Source organism: Homo sapiens, chromosome 12, assembly GCF_000001405.40.
Source record: "Homo sapiens chromosome 12, GRCh38.p14 Primary Assembly".
In the NCBI taxonomy this organism is placed as follows: Eukaryota; Metazoa; Chordata; class Mammalia; order Primates; family Hominidae; genus Homo; species Homo sapiens.
This window is the reverse complement of record NC_000012.12, coordinates 93,985,904-93,998,910: the sequence shown is the minus strand read 5'-3', so window position 1 is coordinate 93,998,910 and position 13,007 is coordinate 93,985,904. Positions and strand designations below refer to the sequence as shown.

Below are 13,007 nucleotides of genomic sequence, written 5' to 3'. Positions count from 1 at the left end.
GCTTTTGAGGGCATAGTCATAAATTCTTTCCTAAGGGTGATGCCCAGAATGGTGTTTCCTAGTTTTTTTTCTAGGATTCTTGTAGTTTGAAGTCTTATATTTAAATCTTTAATCCATTTTGAGTTAATTTTTGTACATGGTGAAAGGTAGAAGTCCAGTTTCATTCTTCTGCATATGGCTAGCCTGTTATCCCAGCACTGTTTATTGAATAATAAGTCATTTCCTTATTGCTTATTTTTGTTGACTTTGTCAAAGACCAGATGGCTATAGGTGTGTGGCTTTATTTCTGGGTTATCTATTCTATTCCATTGGTCTGTGTGTCTGTTTTTGTACCAGTACCATACTGTTTTGGTTACTGTACCTTTATAGTATAGTTTGAGGTCAGGTAATGTGATGCTTCCAACTTTGTTCCTTTTGCTTAGGATTGCTTTGGCTGTTTGGGCTCTTTTTTAGCTCCATATGAATTTTGGAATCATTTTTTCTAGTTCTGTGAAAAACGATGTTAGTTTGATAGGAATAGCATTGAATCTGTAGATTGCTTTGAGCAGTACGGCCTTTTTAACAATATTGATTCTTCCAATCCATCAGCATGGAAAGTATCTTTCCATTTGCTTGTGTTATCTGATTTCTTTCAGTGGTGTTTTGTAGTTCTCACGATAGAGATCTTTCACCTCATTGGTTAGTTGTATTCCTAGGTATATTTTGTGTGTGTGTGGTTATTGTAAATGGAATTGCATTCTTGATTTGGCTCGCAGCTTGAATGTTATTGGTGAAGAGAAATGTTACTGCTTTTTGTACATTGATTTTGTATCCTGAAACTTTACTGAAGTCATTTATCAGTTCCGGGGCCTGTTGGCAGAGTCTTTAGGGTTTTCTATGTATGGAATCATATCATCAGCAAAGAGAGATAGTTTGACTTCTTCTTTTCCTATTTAGATGCCTTTTATTTATTTCTCTTGCCTAATTGCTCTGGCTAGGACTTCCTATTTTACAATTTTCAATGTTTGATTTATATCAGGAGTGCCTTAGTCCATTTGGGCTGCTATAACAAAACACTGGGTAGCTTATAAACAACAGAAGTTTATTTCTCACCATTCTGGAGGCTGGGAAGTGTAAGATCAAGGTGCCAGCAGAGTCTGATGAGGGCCTGCTTACTACTGCATAGGCAGCCTACCCTTTTTGCTCTGACCTCACATGGTGTCTCTTTTTCTATGGTTGCTAATTCCAATCATGAGGCTCCACCTTCCTGACCTAATCACTTCCCAAAAGCCCCACCTCCTGATACTGTCACCTGCAGGTTAGGTTTCAATATATGAATTTTGGAGGGACACAAATATTCGGACCATAGCAAGGAGACCTTCTTCCACCATGGGGAGGAAGAAATTGAGCAAATGCTTAAAGCTGTATGCCTGAATAGGGATACCTTAGCATTTATAAACAGTAAATAAACACTTATAAAAATGTAAATGTTCAAAATTAGGCTTCGATTAAATAAATTATGATCTATTCATGAAAATACTGTGAAGTAGCCATCTAAAATTATAAAATAAGTATATATTTGTTGACATGTAAAATATTCATTTTATTAACAGAAAGCAAAATTACTAAAAAGCATCCATAGCATACCATCTAAAAGAAAAATATATTTTATGTGTGTATGTCTACTTATATGTACATATATAAGTAAATACAGAATTACACAAATATGTTATATATCAGCATTTTGAAGGCAATATGCCCAAACATATTAACAGGGTTTATCTCTCCATGCCAGGCTTACGAGTGGCTTTATTTTCTAATTTTTGATATTATACATGTGATTTGCATCAACAAAGAAAGGGCTGAACTTTTCTTTCCTTTTTCCATCGCCCTTCCCCAGTTTAGGTTGGTTATTTTTCAATCCTGAGAGGGAAGAGGAATTACCTACAGAAGGGAACATTTCTGGGAGATCTTTCTGGCTCTCGGTTCTTCTCCTTGGAATTTTTGATTGTCCTGGAATCTAGCTCTTATTAGAAGAGATAGAATTTATTCCTTATCTTTAATTTTTCCTTGTTGTTAAACATTAAAGTCAAGCTTTGGCATCAACTTTATTAGCTCTAATCATGGCTGCATGCCATTAAGATTAATAATTCTGTTAGTTATTCCCCACCCACCACACAATTTTCCATGTCCCTTAAGGAACTGATGTGTTTATTCCTACACGGTCTGTTTATGAACTAAATGAGAAAGACAGACTTGTCACTTCAAAGTCATAGCTTGTTTAAATGCATTTGACCTGATCCACCAGATCTAAATCCAACTGACTTTTGGCCATTTTGAAAAGAATGAAGGTTGGCTACTTCCAAGAAAATCCCAGAGAATGTGCACAAGCCCTAAAGGAGCTTACAAGTAGGGAGTTCCAGGAATGCTTTTGAGGAATGGCTGTGAAGAAATTGGGCCTCCTCTAAGCTCAGGTCCTGGGTACAGAGCCTCAGGATAAAACCAATTTGCTGTTTATCCCTTTTAGACCCCAGGGATTTGGCCAACCTCTTCTCCTGTCTCCTGCCAACTTTGACCTGGTTTTCTACAAGACTTAAGAGGTAATATATTCATGTCTCAATTTATTCAATAGTTAGGTTTCTAAAAATTCTGGGAAATTTGTAAAAGGTTATATAAAAATCAGTTCAAAAATGAATTAAAAGTGAGGGATATATTCTATTAATAAGAAGAATAAATAGTTAATGAAAAAGTTACTTATGTAATAGTGACCAAAAAGAAGCCACTGAATAATAAGGTATACTTGAATTGCAAACAACATAAGTTTACAAATGTAGTAGCTGTGTTTTAAATGCCTTCATTATGGGAATTCTTGCATGTGAAGTCTTTATCATGTTCAATGATGCCCAGGTTTTGTCTTTTCTTTAACCTTGAGATAATTTTAATGAATTATAATGAGTCTGCTAATGTCTATGTTTCATTTATCTTTTGCAAAACAGGCTGATCACCTCCATTTTTACATATTGATAAGATTTGACTTCTTTTTCTTCTGGGGACCTCCCTATGATGCAAACTGACGATTTCCAGTTATTGTTTTACCTGCAGGTCAAAAATAATTTAAAAATAGTTATTCAAGTATCAAGCCACAAGTTCATGTGGCTTGATGAGTATAGACATTAGGAAGGAAGCAACGGCTGGTCCTGTGCCAGGCATCTTATTGAGAGTTGCTTCATACCACTTGGACTTGGCCTTGTTCAGTATTGTCAGAGAAAAAGCTTCCGAAATTTTTGGAAGGCATTTTGATCCCATTATTCTGAAATTTGCATGTGTGCTTTTTTTTTCGCTCTGTCACCCAGGAGGAAGTGCAGTGGTGCGATCTCCGCTCACCTGCAACCTCAGTCCCCTGGGTTCAAGCAATTCTCGTGCCTCAACCTCCTGAGTAGTTGGGATTACAGGCACCCACCACCATGCCTGGTTAATTTTTGTATTTTTAGTAGGGATGGGGTTTCACCCTGTTGGTCAGGCTGGTCTCAAACTCCTGACCTCAGGTGATCCACCCGCCTCAGCCTCCCAAAGTGCTGGGATTACAGGCATGAGCCACCGCACCTGGCCGCATGTGTATGTTTTAAACAATGTTAACTTGATTCAGATTTAATACTTGCCTCTGTTTACTTTTTAGTATAAATGAAGCTAGATCTATTCTTTCAGAGCTGTTTTACCTGGTTCCAATCTGAGCCATAATTCTTGGTTTAGGATCCATCACCCAACCCATGATTTGGAGCCTATTCAGACTCAGGCCCCACATGAGTTTGAGCTGCTATCACTACTGGGGAGTGTTACTTCTCCAATTCACTGTCATTCCTTGTCATATATATTTCAAGAACACTTACATAAAACACAAAAGAGGACAGCTCAGCCTCTGGAGGTGACTAGGTTCCTGTGTGGAGTCCCAGGCTGTGTGGATCAACAAAAGCTGGCCCTTATCCTGGACATCTGGAAAGATGCAGGAGAGAGGGACAGGAATTGGGTCTAAGGCAAAGTGGCTGAGCCAAGGAGAGGCAAAGTCAAAGTCAGCCCAGGATCTGGGCAGGGTTGAGGGGTGGTGTCGGGGGTGAGTAGTTTCCCCAAGGCCAAGAGGTGCAGAAAGGGAGAGTGTTTTACAGATGTCATGTGGTGTGTCACGGTCCCTGAATGCTTCTAGAAAGCTACACTAGAAAGCAGGGGTCCCTGGTTGTTAATATAAAACATATTACTTTAAATTTATACTGTATATTTATTTTTCAGCCAACACCTAATCTTATCTTTGCTTTAGTCCAGTGGCTTCCAAACTTTTGCACTGAGACCCACGGAGAACCTTTTACATCTCAACCCATTACACACATCTATACACTCTTAACTGAGATACAAGTTCAATAAAACAATATGTATTGTTATTACATATGATATCCTCTGATATTTACTTTGCCTTCCCTTGCATTCCCCTGCCTTCCCTTGTATTTTTTTTGTTTTTGTTGTTTGTTTTTTTGAGACAGGGTCTCATTCTGTTGCCCAGGCTGGAGTGCAGTGGTGCAATCTCGGCTCACTGCAAACTCTGCCTCCCGGGTTCAAGCGATTCTGGTGCCTCAGCCTCCCAAGTAGCTGGGATTACAGGTGTGTACCACCACTCCTGGCTGATTTTTAAAAATATTTTTAGTAGAGATGGGGTTTCACCATGTTGGCCAGGCTATTTTCAAACTCCTGACCTCAGATGATCAGGCCCGCCTTGGCCTCCCAAAGTGCTGGGATTAAAGGTGTGAGCTATCACACCTGGCCTCTGCTCCTATAGTTTTAAAGATACTGATTGTGACCCACCAAGTTCATCCCATAACTTACTAATGAATTGCAACCTGCAGATTGAAACTCTTTTTCATTCCAGTCAGTATAGCTCCTTCCAACTGCTATGGCCACCCCAGCATAAGCACCATGCTGTTCCCACCTTCTGAAGCAAACCCAGGGCAGCCCCAGATCTGCTGCCCTACCTTGTCCTTCTGTTTGTCCTTCCCTCCTCACCTCTCACAGCCACTCCCTCTCAGCCACTTTCCCCCATCTCGCTTTCACTTGATCTCTCAATTTTTGAGAGATAGAACAAAAAGCCATTTCCCAAAATATGGTAAGCATACCTGTCCTGGGGCCAAGACGATTTTAGGGACACAGAGATGAACTTATTCTCCTTTTGCTAGTTACAACCCTCTTTTTTCCAGTTGTCTTCTATACGTAACAAGTGATGCTGGTTTTCTCTTTAGAAGAAGAAAAAGTAATTGTAGCTAAAGTTTATTGAATACTTGCCATATGTCGGGCACTATTTTCAGAACTTTACATATGTAAACTTGTTTAACCTCCACAACAATCCTATGAAGCCGTTGCTAATATTATTATCACCATTTCACAGATGAAAAAATCCCAGAGGCACAGGGAGGTTAGGAATTTGCCTGAGATCACACAGCTGGTAAGTGGAGGGACCAGGAAGTCTAGCACCTTAGAAGAAAGTCAACTCTAGAAACAGCATTGAGTCAAACTCTCATTCTACCACTTTCTAACTGTGTGAACTTAGGCGAGTTATTCAGCCCACCTGTGCCTCAGTTTTCAAATCTCTGCCTCAGTTTCCTCACTGAATCTAACACATCATCAATTTATATATCACTAAAAAAGATTTAAAAGTATAAATTTAATCATGACTGGCTGGGTGCGGTGACTTATGCCTGTAATCCCAGCATTTTGGGAAGCTGAAGCAGCAGAATCACTTGAGGCCAGGAGTTTAAAACCAGACTGGAAAACATAGCAAGACCCTGTCTCTTAAAAAAAAATTTAACCATGACTTACAGGCTTTCTTATCAATTATTCATCCTGATAACAGAGAATGTTAAAATATAAAAAAAAGAACATCTTAGAATCAATGAAATATAATAATACTACATTGTAGGATTATCAAGAAGAGTACATGGATCTAGCATTTATTATGGTGCCTGGTACGCGGGAAGTTCTTCATCCATGTTAGCTCTTCTGGTTGTTACAATGGTTGTGCCTATTTGAGAGGGGAAAGAGTTGCGGCACAGAGAGAGTACATTCTCAGGTTGCCCTGGTAGGAAACTGGTGGTCCCCAGATCTAGCTGAGGTCTGTAACTCTCTTGCTGGCTGGGGCTGCCTGTCTCCAAGTCGGGTGAGGCCTGGCTTGTGTCTGAACACCAGACCAGTGGGCTTTCATTTTGCTTTATGTGCCTTCACCAAGAAGGTGGGTGTGGTGGCTCACGCCTGTAATCCTAGCACTTTGGGAGGCCGAGGCACGTGGTTAGCCTGAGCCTGGGAGTTCGAGACCAGCCTGGGCAACATGGTGAAACCCCGTCTCTACTAAAAATACAAAACTAGCCAGGCGTGGTGGTGTGTGCCTGTAATCCCAGCTACTCAGGAGGTAGCTGAATCGCTTGAATCTGGGAGGCGGAGAGTGCAGTGAGCCAAGATTGTGCCACTGCACTCTGTTTCAAATAAAAAAAAAGATCTATTGAGCCCATTTGCCTCAGGACCTTCCAGGTCTTTGTCATTCCTGTTTCCAGAGTCCTGAAGGTCATAACCATGGCCCACATTCCCCCCATTCCCAGGGGAGTGTCTAGACTTTCTGACTCAAGACAAATTACCAAATGTATAAATGCCCATTCCGCTTAATGACTTTACTTCCACTTTTCACAGACTCTCAGATGTGGCTAGAAATAGTCCCAAACCCTGCAATCTTTCATAGAGCTGAGCTAAATTAAGTGGGTAGTGTTCCTCCAGAATTCCTCTCCCAAGCACTTAACACTGATGTACGTCCCTCCCTACTTTGCTCACAGAACAGATGTTTGAAGAAACGTCACTTGACTGTGAAGAAGGAAAAAATGTTACTAAAATGTGGATTTCCACACCCACCCCCATACATAAGTTCTTGGATCTACTGCTGATGCACTCTTTATGCATATTTATTCAACACACGTACTCCTCCACACATGCACACACATATATGCAATGGACTCCCTACCCTCACCATTCACATGAACATTGTCACAAGGATTTTCTAACTTATATTTTTAATATTTTTGCTCCATAACCACGGCTTTGAGCTAATTGTTTCACATTTTCTTAATGTACACCAGAAATGGCATTTACATCTCAGTCTAGCAGCAGGTTCACTGGCAGGCAAGGCAAAAAGCACAAATTTAAATTTGGTCATAGCTAGACGGCAGAGCCACAGACCCCTGCTTAATTTCTGGTGTCCTTGGCCGGCTGCCTGAGAAGGAACTCTGTCCGCTGGGAACTCAGGCATTGGATGTAATAAGCACTGACTTCCACATTATAAGACTAAAGCTTTGTCGTACAGAGAGCACTAGGTCTTAGGCGATGACTTAGTGCCTTAGATTCCCATATTAGCACAAAGGTTAAACCTGATACTATTAATTGCAACCTTTCCAGATAATTATTTTCTCCTTTACCCTGTTGGGACCGCTTGTGTTCTCCGAGAAAACTCCCTGGGGTGAGCTTTCCTTACTTGCCACCTTCTTTTGTCTTCAGGGAGAGTGAAAACGAGGCATGGTGCAGCTCGGATCAAGCGTTTGCTGTCTCCTGCCTTTTTACCATGGCGACACGACACACCGAGCGCACTTTGAGAGCGAGAACTGTCCTCTAGAGGGAGAGACAGGAACACACACTGGAGGCTGAATGTTGTCTGTATCATCCCCAGTAGTTCTGAATTGTCATACTTTGCGGGAGGACCCTGGCTGGGGGCCTGCATTTTTTTCTCTGTGACTGAATCCTCTCTTGCTGGCTCTGTCACAGTCAGCCACCCTTCGCTGTTGACTGGTCCTCATACATCCATGAGAGCCTTGGGAAGGGACACACTCTTTCCTTGGCTCTTCCCTCTAAACGGCAACACAGGCCCTCCAGCTCCCAGACCAAATGGCTAATGCTGGGGCTGAAAAAACTGTACACCAAAATGAAGGCCTCAGAGCAGCCACGGAAGCAAAAGTTTTTCTCTGATCTTCTCCCGCCCTCCCCTGCAACCCAAGCCTAGCCATAAAAACTAGAATCCCTCTTCCCCCAAGGCGAGGCATAGAAACCAGAACCCCTTTTCCTGAAAGCCAGCCAAAACACCTAAAAATATTCCATACAAAAACGGGCCAGAAATAAATGATCTGACCTACCTTGTTTGACTGTAGGTCAGAAGACACCCATTGCAGAGAGCCCCCATTCCAGAGAGGGTAAAAGTCCCCATACCCAGAAGGAAGGAAAGCTACACAGGGAGACCAAGAAGAACCTGAACAGACAGGCCTTGTGGAGTCTCCCTGCTCAGTCTATTCACAGTAGATCAGACCCTTTTTGTCCAATCATATTTCTACGTGGCTGTCCATACCTTGTTGAACCTAAGCATAAAAATGGACAATTTTCCTTGTTTCTTTGGGTCTTCATTCTGAAGCCTCCCATGTATACATGTGAAATAAATGTGTGTGCCTTTTCTCCTATTCATCAATCTGCTTCATGTTAGTGATCTTACAACAAACCTTTAGGGGACCAAGGGCCTCAGCCCCCACACTAATCTTAGAATCATAGGTTGAGGCTGGCTCCCACCCAACCACCAACTGACATCTCTGAGGCCAGGGTGAGCTTACTCTTCAACACCAGGAATCATCAGGCTTCTCCATTTCATGCAGGAGAGACCCAAAGCCCTCTCCCAAGCCCAGGAAAAGGGAATGATTTGTTTTCCTCTTCACATCTTGTAAAACTGAAACTCTATACTCATTAAACACCAACTCTCCATTTCCGTCTCCTCCAGTCCCTGGCATGCATCATTCTACTTTCTGTCTATGTGGTTTTGACTACACTTATACCTCATATAAGTGGAATTATACAACATTTATCTTTTTGTGACTGGTTTATTTCACTTAACATAATGTCCTCATATGTTGTAGCATGTCAGATTTTCTTTTCTAAGACTGAATAATGTTCTATTGCATGTATACGCCATATTTTGCTTATCCGTATGTTGATGGACACTTACCAAAGACACGTTTTTTCATTGAATTATTTTCAGCTTCAGAATTCTAAAGATCCAGTCTATCCCAGGAAACTCCATTTCATATGTATTTTTCAATGATTAACCAATACTTGTTTAAAACTTGCAATTTTTACTGAATATATAACCTGTATCTGTCCTTTATCATCTGACATTTTTCTACTATGTAATTTTCGTGAACTGTTTAGTGTCCCATTGTGGCCTATCAGCCAGAATGGTCTGGGTTAAGCTGTAGTAACAAATAACCCCAAAATCTCAGTGACATAAAACAATTTTTAATTTCTTGCCCACTCTATGTGTCAATTGCAGATCAGTTAGGGATCGGCTCTGTGACATAATGTTCTCACTCCAGGACCCAGGTAGAAGAAAAACTGACCATGGGAAAAAAAATTATACATTGGCTCTTTTTTTTTTTTTTAATTATACTTTAAGTTTTAGGGTACGTGTGCACATTGTGCAGGTTAGTTACATATGTATACACGTGCCATGCTGGTGCGCTGCACCCACTAACTCATCATCTAGCATTAGGTATATCTCCCAGTGCTATCCCTCCCCCCTCCCCCCACCCCACCACAGTCCCCAGAGTGTGATATTCCCCTTCCTGTGTCCATGTGATCTCATTGTTCAATTCCCACCTATGAGTGAGAATATGCAGTGTTTGGTTTTTTGTTCTTGCGATAGTTTACTGAGAATGATGATTTCCAATTTCATCCATGTCCCTACAAAGGACATGAACTCATCATTTTTTATGGCTGCATAGTATTCCATGGTGTGTATGTGCCAAATTTTCTTAATCCAGTCTATCATTGTTGGACATTTGGGTTGGTTCCAAGTCTTTGCTATTGTGAATAGTGCCGCAATAAACATACGTGTGCATGTGTCTTTATAGCAGCATGATTTATAGTCCTTTGGGTATATACCCAGTAATGGGATGGCTGGGTCAAATGGTATTTCTAGTTCTAGATCCCTGAGGAATCGCCACGCTGACTTCCACAATGGTTGAACTAGTTTACAGTCCCACCAACAGCATAAAAGTGTTCCTATTTCTCCACATCCTTTCCAGCACCTGTTGTTTCCTGACTTTTTAATGATTGCCATTCTAACTGGTGTGAGATGGTATCTCATTGTGGTTTTGATTTGCATTTCTCTGATGGCCAGTGATGATGAGCATTTTTTCATGTGTTTTTTGGCTGCATAAATGTCTTCTTTTGAGAAATGTCTGTTCATGTCCTTTGCCCACTTTTTGATGGGGTTGTTTGTTTTTTTCTTGTAAATTTGTTTGAGTTCATTGTAGATTCTGGATATTAGCCCTTTGTCAGATGAGTAGGTTGCGAAAATTTTCTCCCATTTTGTAGGTTGCCTGTTCACTCTGATGGTAGTTTCTTTTGCTGTGCAGAAGCTCTTTAGTTTAATTAGATCCCATTTGTCAATTTTGTCTTTTGTTGCCATTGCTTTTGGTGTTTTGGACATGAGGTCCTTGCCCGTGCCTATGTCCTGAATGGTAAAGCCTAGGTTTTCTTCTAGGGTTTTTATGGTTTTAGGTCTAACGTTTAAGTCTTTAATCCATCTTGAATTGATTTTTGTATAAGGTGTAAGGAAGGGATCCAGTTTCAGCTTTCTACATATGGCTAGCCAGTTTTCCCAGCACCATTTATTAAATAGGGAATCCTTTCCCCATTGCTTGTTTTTCTCAGGTTTGTCAAAGATCAGATAGTTGTAGATATGTGGCATTATTTCTGAGGGCTCTGTTCTGTTCCATTGATCTATATCTCTGTTTTGGTACCAGTACCATGCTGTTTTGGTTACTGTAGCCTTGTAGTATAGTTTGAAGTCAGGTAGTGTGATGCCTCCAGCTTTGTTCTTTTGGCTTAGGATTGCCTTGGTGATACATTGGCTCTTAAAGTTTCTGCCTGGATGCCACATTGTATTTCCTTTCACATTTCCTTGGCTAAAGCTAGTCACATGGCCTCACTTAAGCTAAGGTGGGAAAGAAATGAAATCCTACTATGTGTCCAGCAGGAGAATTGGAAATATTTGGTGGACAGCACTAATGGTTACCATATATGAATGTAATATAATAAAGGATTCCCTATTTTAGGGCATCTAAGTTTTTTCCAATTTTTCCTTAAGCTGAGCAAATTTGTGGATATGTATTTTTTTAAGATGTCCATGGAAGTATACAGAATTTCAGGTGGAATGTTAGTAAAACCAGCCATTTATGTTGAAGTGGTGCAAATCTTAAACAAATTATAAGTCTCAAGCAATGATAATGATTTTGAGTCGTGGCATCCAGCATTGCTCCAAATACCAACAATCCAAAGTAAAACAGGCAAAAAAAAAGAGCCAGAATATTTAAATTTTCTTCTTAGATTGCCTAAAATCTGTTTATCTATTGTCTGTTTTTTTATTGTTAATAATGAATATTCTGTATCTTTATATAGGAAGATTCCCAATATTATCAGGTCCAACTAAAACTTTACCAGTTTGCAAATTATTCATCACCTGTTGCCCCCACTACTGAATCTAGTATGCAAGGTTTTGCATGCCAAACTGAGCACATGTGGCTTCGGGTGCTGTTTTCCAATCGTTTCTAGATGATCCCTCATGAAAACTTGTTCAGACACCCAGGTACATATTACCTCTAGCTGTGGACAAGTCCATCGGCAAATAATCATACCCTCCACACCCACTGACAGTAAACTCATGTAACAGCTAATGGGCTAATAGCCAACATTAACTTAAGGGACTGGCCACTACCCAAGGTAAATCAAGATACCACAGAGGTAATAACACAAACCATCTTGACAAATCAAATTCAAGGATAACTGTTGTACAGGGCCACTTGTGCAACTGTATCTGTGTAAATGCTGGCCAGACAGACTCAGTTGGTAGCTATTCTGCATGGGTTATCTCATATTCCAACTGCAAGACAAAGAGCAAAATGGCACTACTTTCCATGTTATGTGAAAAATGCATACTGCATTCAAACTACTGTTGTCCTCATTGAAACATCCATCCAACAAAGCTATGTGTATGTTACAAATATACTTTCAATTGTTTTTGTTATATCTTTTATTATTTAAGACCACTTTACCCTAATCATCTTCATGGGTACTTACGTGTGTAAAGTGGGGAAGGGAGATGAAAATTATCATTTTGAAACGTGTTTGAGAAATACTAGATAAAACAAAGATAATTCAGATTCTTAATTGCAAGACTTCTCAGAGCCTTTGATATACTAATGTGTCAGTAAATTTTCATGAATATAAATGACCACAGGGCATTTTTTAAAGTAAAGAAACAAAATATCATTAATGTATGAACAAATGGTTTGCCTCTTTCTTGACCTGTACCCTCAATGAAAACGTCTAACATTGTTCACTCAGCACCTTTCCCTCAATTTGATATTCATCTCATGGTCCTCACTCTACATCCTCAACTAATCAGAAGTGGAAGACTCAGGGTATCTGGAATGAGGGATTGTCATCAGACAGGGTCAGGGCTTTCTTGAAAGAAATTTAAAGTGATGGAAAGAAACAGGAAGAGGAAGAAAAGAGAAGATCCTGCAAAGGTAGAGGGTGTCCAAGATAATTTGGTGTGGAGCTGAGTGAAAAAAAATGGGGGAAGAGAGGTGTTGAGAAAGCTTTGAGATGTGAGACAATTGTAAAAGGAGAAGAATGAGGAAAAGAAAAATTTAAGAAATGAAGTTAGGAATTATGGATTGGATCTTCTTTAATATTCTTTGAGAAATGAAAGAAAGTGAAAGAGAGTGATCACACTTGGTTACTGAACTGTTTCTTTGAATGCTAACCCTGTTGAGACTGGCCACGTAGGCCCCGGGATTTATTCAAGTTACAACAGAACATCTCCACACCAGTATTCCACAAAATACCTTTAGAGAAATGCTGAATAACACTGTAAACTTACACAGCCTAGAATAGAGACAGGGAAAGAAGCA

The 13,007-nt window shown here is 40.3% G+C and overlaps 1 long non-coding RNA gene across 1 annotated transcript in view; it reads left to right on the top strand.

Annotated features, from left to right (window-relative positions):
• The window catches only part of LOC105369912 (uncharacterized), a 41,668-nt gene that overhangs the window by 12,433 nt on the left and 16,228 nt on the right, over positions 1-13,007 (top strand). The window contains exon 2 of the long non-coding RNA XR_001749263.2: positions 2,507-2,579. This is a non-coding gene — a long non-coding RNA (uncharacterized LOC105369912). The remainder of the gene's footprint in view (positions 1-2,506; positions 2,580-13,007) is intronic.